This window comes from Homo sapiens, chromosome 1 (genome assembly GCF_000001405.40).
Source record: "Homo sapiens chromosome 1, GRCh38.p14 Primary Assembly".
In the NCBI taxonomy this organism is placed as follows: domain Eukaryota; kingdom Metazoa; phylum Chordata; class Mammalia; order Primates; family Hominidae; genus Homo; species Homo sapiens.
This window is the reverse complement of record NC_000001.11, coordinates 212,782,144-212,791,265: the sequence shown is the minus strand read 5'-3', so window position 1 is coordinate 212,791,265 and position 9,122 is coordinate 212,782,144. Positions and strand designations below refer to the sequence as shown.

Sequence of the window (9,122 nt, the reverse complement as noted above, 5' to 3'; positions counted from 1 at the left end):
GTGAAGTTAATGGAAATAAGACATTTTGTTTAACCCAATAAATCCAAGGTATTTTAACATGTAATAATATCAAATGAATGAGATATTTTACATTCTTTTGTTCGTACTAAGCTTTTCAAATCTGGTGTGCTGCATTTACGGCACATCTTCGAACTAGTTACATTTAAGCGCTCAGTAACTACAAAGTGGCTAGTGGCTCACCTGTTGGACAATGCAGCCGCAGACAATGAGGAATTCTCCTGGAAAGGGTAATTCTGGAAGTCAGCCATTCACCCAAGCAGCATTTGATCTTTCCTTTTGCATGTTTTATTTATTTATTTATTTTATTTTATTTTTTTTTTTTGAGACAGAGTCTCGCTCTGTCGCCCAGGCTGGAGTGCAGTGGCGCGATCTCGGCTCACTGCAAGCTCCGCCTCCTGGGTTCACGCCATTCTCCTGCCTCAGCCTCCTGAGTAGCTGGGACTCCAGGCGCCTGCCACCACGCCCGGCTAATTTTTTTGTGTTTTTAGTAGAGACAGGGTTTCACCGTGTTAGCCAGCATGGTCTCGATCTCCTGACCTCGTGATCCGCCCGCCTTGGGCTCCCAAAGTGCTGGTATTACAGGCGTGAGCCACCTCGCCCGGCCTATTAACCTTTATTTTTACTGTTTGCACTGTGGTCATTCATAACTCACAAATGTGCGGTATTATGAGCTTTTAAATTTTTTCCGCTAATATAAGTAGATTGGTGCCTGTTATAAGGAAGCACACAATCCCTTTATTTCTTGTGTTCCCAAAAAACTACCACCTTCAGGGCTTTGCAAAAATATTTAAGAAAGGCTTGGGAAATGTGGTATAGAGGCAAATGTATGATCTTAGTAAAGTTTTCAACCAACACAATTTTTTTTAACCTATTTTAGTCTTGTAAAGAAAATGTTTTCACTCTAAAACAGGCAAAAGGGGTCGGGCGCGGTGGCTCACGCCTGTAATCCCAGCACTTTGGGAGGCCGAGGCGGGCGGATCACGAGGTCAGGAGATCGAGACCATCCTGGCTAACATGGTGAAACCCCGTCTCTACTAAAACAATAATAATAATAATACAAAAAATTAGCCGGCCATGGTGGCAGGCACCTGTAGTCCCAGCTACTCGGGAGGCTGAGGCAGGAGAATGGCGTGAACCCGGGAGGCGGAGCTTGCAGTGAGCCCAGATCTCGCCACTGCACTCCAGCCTGGGTGACAGAGCGAGACTCCATCTCAAAAAAAAAAGGTTCAGTGGAAGAATGAAGAAACACTTCCTGGGTTGTGACTCTGTATGTAGTTTTGTATATAGTGACTCTTACGTCATTCCCTCCTTGCAAGCAAGGCAAGAATAGGGATATATCTCAGGACGTTTTTAGTAGTTTTTTGGGAGAAGACTTTTGTTGTATAATCTTAGAATTTGTCTGATTCTAGGAAATGCTAAGGTATTTAAAACATTTAGGTGTCTTACAGAAAAAGAGGAACTTGGCTTAACCTATTATATCCTATTTAGTGGGACGATAAAGTGAATTATAAGATAAAGTTTACAGGGCTTAGACTACCACAGGAATTCACTTGTGTTTTATTTTAAATAAAGCAGAAGCTTTATTTTGTATCTCTGTTTAAAACTGCATATTAAGTAGCAGATTTTCTTTAAAAACAGTATTGGTAGCAGTCTGCAATGAATGTTACAAAGACAATATGTTTTCTCAGCAATTCTTGAAAGTAATTCTAGAAAATAATTTTAAAACATACATAGGCCGGGCGCGATGGCTTACGCCTGTAATCCCAGCACTTTGGGAGGCTGAGGCGGGCGGATCACCTGAGGTCAGGAGTTCCAGACCAGCCTGGCCAACACGGTGAAACCCTGTCTATACTAAAAATACAAAAATTAGCCGGGTGTGATGGCGCTTGCCTGTAATCCCAGCTATTCGGGAGACTGAGGCAGGAGAATCGCTTGAACCTGGGAAGCGGAGGTTGCAGTGAGCCAAGATTGCGCCATTGCACTCCAGCCTGGTTGACAAGAGTGAAACTCCATCTCAAAAAAAACAAAAAACAAACAAACAAAAAATAAAATAAGGATTTTACTTTATGAAATCTTTGAAATGTAGAATATGTACTTTAACTCATAATTATCAGTAATTTGGTTTATGTTATTTTTAATTATACAAAGGGTACAAAATATATGCTCATAAAAAAATTCAAACAGTAGCATAAAGCAAAATTCTTTGAGTTCCCCTTCCCCATCCCTCTTCCTTCTAGGACATAAGGTACTATTTTGGAGAGTACTTGGGGAGAGTAAACTTTCTATACCCCCTTTCTGTGGCTTTACCTCTTTCTCTCTGTTTATGTTTGTTTGTCTCCATTAATAATGTCATGCTGATGAATTGTTATTGACCTGCCTTTTTTGAAACCAAACATGTCTATTATTTGTTAGTGTTACGTAGAGCTTGTCTTCATCCTTTTTAGGTACTGCGTGGTATGAATATTGTCTATTTAACTCTTCTAATTTTGACTTTAGGTTTTTTCCCACAATTTTAAAAATTTCAAACAGTGCTGAAATGAACATTTCTAGCACATTCTCTTTAGTTTTTATGAGAGTAGTCCTTTAGGATGCATTGCTAGAAGTGAAATTGTTGGGTAATAGGAAATGTGTACTGCCGAATTCCTTTAGTCCATCATTTAAAAAAAATTTTGATGAAGTCCAATTTGTCTATTTTTTGTTTGTTTTTGTTTTTTGTTTTTTGGTTCTTTATCTTTTAATGTATTATGAACATTTTCAACCTTACAAAAAATTAGTTTAGTACAGTGGACACCCATATATCCACCACCAAACTCAACAGTTGTCAAAATTTTGTTACAGTTGCTTCTCCCTCTGTCTCCCAGGCTGGAGTACAGTGGCAATCATAGCTCACTGTATTCTCAAACCACTGGGCTCAAGTAATCCTCTAGCCTCAGCCTTTCAAGTAGCCGGGACTACAGGCATGTGCCACTGTGCCTGGCTAATTTTTAAATTTTTTAGTAGAGAAGGTTGTCTCAGTGTGTTGCCTAGGCTGGTCTGGAACTGGCCTCAAGCAATCCTCTTGCCTTGGCTTCCCAAAGTGATGGGATTATAGGCGTGAGCCACTGCACCTGGCCTACGTTTGCTATTTTAAAGCATATCTTAGATCTCATGTCATTTCATCGCTACATAAGTGTTCATCTCTCAAAAATACAGCCCTTTATAAAATATAATTTTATTTTTAAGCATGTATGTTTTCCCTCTTGTTAACATCAACAGTCATTCAGCAGCATATATAGTACTTATACCCCTGAGATTCAACTGAGCCTAAATTTGTTAGATTTTATTTTTTCTTTCATTCTAGGAGTACTTTTTTTTGTTTGTTTATAAGAATATTCCAAAATTTTAAATCAGATTTTCTCTTGGGTAGCATAATGGCTATGAGACCCAAAATGTAGGTAGAATCAATGATTGAAGTGGAATCTTCATTGAAAAGAATAGATATACTAATTAGCTATTCTGCTACTTTTATTTCCTCTGTCACAAATCTGGAAGTATTATTTTGCTAAAACGTTTGAATTTAGTATTTAAAATTATTTTTAGTGACTTGACTACTGTGAATTTATTGCAGACTTTTGAATCAGCTGTGCAAGAGAATATCAGCATTAATGGGCAAGCATGGCAGGAAGCTTCAGATAATTGTTTTATGGGTATGTGACTTTTTCCTTCCATTATTAATTTCTGGGTTATTTTTGCAGCTAATTTTGTTTTGAATGCTGTTTTTTAATCTCCATATTTAGTGTCATTTATTTTCAAGAAGTTGTTTACTAGGGGAGTAATAAAGAACTGAGATTATGACTTCAATAGTCTTCTTTGTCAATAGTTTATTGGAAAATACTGTAGAGCTATCTCCAGATGACAAAAGAGGCCCAGGGAATTTCTGTAATTATTTACAAAGCAAGTTGTATTTTTGTAAGTGATCTCTAGAGTGAATAGTGAAGTACCCTTAAAAGTGTGAAGTTATTATTAATTATACAAGTACCGTGTAAAGGATGAGGTTACATCTTTGTAGAAGGTTCCTTAAAAAGACAATTTTTTTTTTTTTTTTGAGATGAAGTCTCACTGTCACCCAAGCTGGAGTGCAATGACACAGTCTCAGTTCACTGCAACCTCTGTCTCCCAGGTTAAAGTGATTCTTGTGCCTCAGCCTCCCTAGTTGCTGGGATTACAGGCATGTGGCCACCACGCCTGGCTAACTTGTATTTTTGGTAGAGGACAGGGTTTCATCATGTTGCCCAGGCTGGTCTCAAACTCCTAGCCTCAATCTCCTAAAGTGCTGGTATTACATATGTGAGCCACTGCTCCTGACCTTGTTCTCAACTCTTGGCTCATAGTAGGCACCTATGAAATATGTTAAATTAATGAATAATTCTTTCCTGTTCAATTTTTCTTTTCTTTCTTTTTAGACAGAGTTTCACTCTTACCTAGGCTGGAGTGCAGTGGCGCGATCTCAGCTCACTGCAACCTCCACCTCCTAGGTTCAAGCAGTTCTCATGCCTCAGCCTCCCAAGTAGCTGGAATCACAGGTGCTTGCCACCACGCCTGGCTCATTTTTGTATTTTTAACAGAGATGGGGTTTTACCATGTTGGCCAGGCTGGTCTCGAACTCTCAAACTCAGGTGATCTGCCTGCCTTGGCCTCCCAAAGTGTTGGGATTACAGGCCTGTGCCTGGCTTCTGTTCAAATTTTGTGATACATTTTAATTGTAGCTTTATCACTAGGTAGTGCTAAGAAAGCATGTTCCTCTCTACAAAAAAGATTTACCTGGGAGACTTTTCTTTTTTTTTTTTTTAACTAATTGTGAAATAGTACATTATTTTCTTCAGGCTAATTATTTAACTTTTTTAATGGATAAATGAAAATTTAGGGAGGGCTGCTTATATAAATAATTATTCAAAGTAAGAAATAACTATTATTTCTTGCCCTCAAAAGAAGGGTACTTTCACAATGTATACTACTGGGTGATGAGTGCACTAAAATCTCAGACTTCACCACTGTACTATTCATCCATGTAACCAAATACCACTTGTACCCCAAAAGCTATTGAAAATCAATCTGTGTGTGTCTCTCTCTCTATCTATCTATCTAGGAAAGAAGGAGGGAGGAAAGGAAAGAAAAGAAGGAAAGGAAGGGAGGGAGAATGAATGGGAAGGAAAGGGAAAGAAAGAAGGAAGGAAAGAAAGAGAAAAAGGAAAAAAAGGGTGCCCTCAAAAGAACTAATTTAGTGGGATTCAATTAATATTTGTGACATGAATGAAAGACTATACCTGATATACTTGATTATCTGATATGTATATACCGAAACATATCAGCAATTTCTCAAAATGTTTCAAAAATTATGTTTCAGATGTTAGATTTCTTCCTAATAAAGCTTCTGATCAATAAAATAAATAGGTCCATTTCTAGCTTAGACTTTGACACAACAGAGCAATATGAGGACCAGTTAAGCTAAGAACTTAGCTCTTTAGTATTTGTAACTACTTAGTATTTTTACTCTTTAAAATGATTTTCAAAATAAAGTTAGATGGATCACCTACATTCCTTTCATCTAGGGTGCTTCATTTCTGGGCCCCATCTCAGACTTACTGAATCAAAATTCTGTACTCCTGAAAACCAAACACCGCATGTTCTCACTCATAGGTGGGAATTGAACAATGGGAACACTTGGAAACAGGTTGGGGAACATCACACACTGGAGCCTGTTGTGGGGTCGGGGGAGTGGGGAGGGATAGCATTAGGAGATATATCTAATGTAAATGACGAGTTAATGGGTGCAGCACACCGACATGGCACATGTATACATATGTAACACACCTGCACATTGTGTACATGTACCCTAGAACTTAAAGTATTAAAAAAAAAATCTGTACTCCTAACATACTCGTTAGGTGATTCTTCTAACATTTGAGAATCACTGTTTTAAAACATGAAAAAGCATATGATAAAGTAGAGTTAGCTAAATGAAAGAAACTCTAAACTCACTGTATCTTTCAGTTTTTCCTACCATCAATCCAGTTGAGTCCTATTTCAGATCTAGTTACTCCACTCACTGCTACTGTCATAGCTTTGGGTCAGTTCATAATAAGTCAAAACTTCTTAGCATCCCTGATATTAAATACCCTTTACAGCCTGGTTCTTATATATTTTATCATCCATTTCTCCTTTACTTTATTCTGTAGCCATTTAGAACTTTTCTCAGGTCTCCAAAGACTAGGATCTTGCAAATACTGTTTCCACTGCCTAAAATGCTTCTCCCTATTCCTTTTTTCCCGTACCACTTTTTATCCATTGGACTTATACTTCTATTTCAAGCTCAAATGTTACTTCTTTAAAGTCTTATATTTCACAGTCAGTCAGTTTTCCATTGTTCTGTGTCCTGATGGCATTTTGCTCATACCTCTATTGCACTTATCAGGTTGCCTTGCAATTGTCTGTTTCTTTCAGCAAACTGTGAACTCTTAGAGAGTAGGAATCATGTTGTGCTCATCTTTGTATTTCTCTTGTTTAGGCCTGGCTTCTTATAGATGCTCAATAATTGATTGTTCAATGCGTAAATAAATTAATCACCAAAGTGGGGGCATTCATTAACTTGCCATATTTGTTTTCCTTCATTATTTTGTGTTTTCTAAATTTAGTTTATAGCACATTTCCATACAGAATGTAAACAATGAGTTTTAGGGAACTTTTTATATATACATTTTTTTTTCTCAAATAGATTCTGACATCAAAGTACTTGAAGATCAGTTTGATGAAATCATAGTAGATATAGCCACAAAACGTAAGCAGTATCCCAGAAAGATCCTGGAATGTGTCATCAAAACCATAAAAGCAAAACAAGAAATTCTGGTAAGATGATTTGCCTTTAAAATGTTATAGTATATTTTACCACAATAAAAACATTAAAATATAAGGCTCTACGTGGAGATAAGTGACATTTTGTTGTCTTTTTCTTTCCTGCCTCAATTAGTATTGTTTGTCTCTTGTAAGACTTTACTCTTCTAAGTTGTACTATGACATAGTATAGTCATACTATACTGTGTTTTGAACACACTGGTTCAAAAATGAAAAAAATGAAAGTTATAGTGAGTGGTTAAAATTGAAATTGGTGATGGAAGACTGACAATGACTTTATGATTCTGAGACAAGGATGGAAAAAGAAGCTTTTCTTTTAACACTTTTCTTTCTGTTTGTTGTTTTTTTTTGGCATATATTTGTATGTTTGTATATTTTGGAAGACCATTTAGTTAAATTGATGATGAAGATTGTTTTAGTACCTGTTCATAACACTGAAATTTGCTTTATGAATTGGGTGTAATTTGTTTTGCTGCAAAAATCATGAACATCTGGGTGACAAGACCAGGAATTCAGCTCCTTCAGCACGAGCTTTTTAGACAAGCAGAGCCGTAGACTTCCTTCTTATAATTACTATAGATATCAATGACCAACCATATCACACCCTCATCTTTTCAGATTTATTAGGACTAGAATAAATAAAAAATAGGAAATCCACAAGAAAATTGGACCCAAATCTTCCCTTGGTGGGGAGGGGAGGTTTGCTGGGAATAGCATTGTCCCTCCAGTGAGGTACATGTTGTGTTTAGATTGTGCTATACTATTGCCTTTAGTTTTTGAAATTAGTACATAAATGTTCACATATAAATCTTCTAGTTGCCTCAGTTTCAGGATTGTTTCAGGTCATTATATGCCCGGCTTAATATTGTATCTAAAACATTTTAGTTATTCTGTGAAAAACAGTATTCATGAGCAGAATTTTTAATTTTCTTTATAGCAGTTCTCAAATACCGCATTCCATCACTTCCCCCACCCCTCCCACTTGAAAGTTTTTTTCAGGAAAAACATTGAAAGTGTATTTTTCAGTGTTGCCCTTGTTACTGCCCCACTACCCCTAAACCCCCAAAACTAGTAATCAATATTGCAGAAAAGAAAGATGGCTGGCCTAGGTGAGGTACTGCTGTGGTAGTTTAAAAAGTAATGCAAAATAGATAAGGTGAGGATACCAAAGACCTTTTCAAAATTTTTTCCTGCCCTGCCCTGCCCTGCGTCTTTCCTCCCTTCTTCCCTCCTTGTTGCTCAGACTGGTCTCAGACTCCTGAGCAAAAGACATTCTCCTGCCTGGGCCTCCCAAAGTGCTGCAATTACAAGTGTGAGTCACCACAGCTGGCTGAAGACCTTTTTTTCTTCTTGTTTTCTTTCTTTTAACCTTTTTGGCTTCTGCTGGCTTTGGGCAAGAATAAGGAAGAGCAATTTCCTCTTTCTTTTTGCCTGCATTGTAGATTCTGTGCCAGTAATTCTGCTACTATAATTTCAGTGTGTCGCAGGATATATAGGCTTAGTGTGGTGGTAATGTAGCCTCGCCACCTTTTAGAACTGAGTTTTCATGGAAATATGCATTTTGAGTTCTAAACACTTGTCCTGAATGAACTTTTGAAACACAGTCCCTTCATAATTGGAGACTACCCTGTACTTTAAACATAAAATTCAGTTTCTATGCTTTTAATTTGCTTGATTGCTTTTTCTGATTATACTTTTTTATGGTGCCACTTCTTAGTATATGCAGCAGGTGGCAGTACTGTAAAAGACATAATTCAGACTTAGTTTGGTTTTACCTTCTCACCTCCTCTTCCCTACAGACAGTAGGATTTAATTTTTTTTCCTCAAAAGAATGGTACTGACTCTATAGTATATCTCCCATATTAGCTGAAAGAGATGTTTATATGAAGCATTAAGTGATTAAATCTGTTTTAATTTATGTTATGTTTAGAAGCAGTACCACCCTGTTGTACATCCACTGGACCTAAAATATGACCCTGATCCAGGTGAGTCAGTATCCATTTGTGGTAAAAATGAAGCATCTGCTTATAATTTTTATGGGTTTCTGATATTCTTCTAAAAGGGTCAGCATCAAGGATATTCTCCCTTTGATGCTTTAACTTCCTACCAGTCATTCATGTTTAGCATTTCATCTAGAATTAAGAGGACTAGCTTTACACCCATTGACTCAGAATTCCAGGGGTGTTACCCCGGAATCTGAGCTTTTATAAAGT

General features: G+C 37.3%; 1 protein-coding gene across 5 annotated transcripts in view, besides 1 other annotated feature; it reads left to right on the top strand.

Annotated features, from left to right (window-relative positions):
• The window catches only part of NSL1 (NSL1 component of MIS12 kinetochore complex), a 65,625-nt gene that overhangs the window by 512 nt on the left and 55,991 nt on the right, over positions 1-9,122 (top strand). For 4 of the 5 annotated variants that reach the window (NM_001297739.2, NM_001297737.2, NM_015471.4 and 1 more), the window contains exons 2-4: positions 3,629-3,707; positions 6,773-6,903; positions 8,840-8,894. In NM_001297739.2, the coding sequence (NP_001284668.1) occupies positions 3,629-3,707; positions 6,773-6,903; positions 8,840-8,894 (265 nt within the window). The remainder of the gene's footprint in view (positions 1-3,628; positions 3,708-6,772; positions 6,904-8,839; positions 8,895-9,122) is intronic. The other variant, NM_001297736.2, reaches the window with a different exon arrangement.
• Positions 38-816: an enhancer, noted in NCBI's record as "H3K27ac-H3K4me1 hESC enhancer chr1:212963792-212964570 (GRCh37/hg19 assembly coordinates)". NCBI's record gives its function as "activates a minimal SCP1, AML or CMV promoter by ChIP-STARR-seq in naive H9 embryonic stem cells {active_cell/tissue: H9 hESC(naive)}" and the evidence as "EXISTENCE:reporter gene assay evidence [ECO:0000049][PMID:30033119]".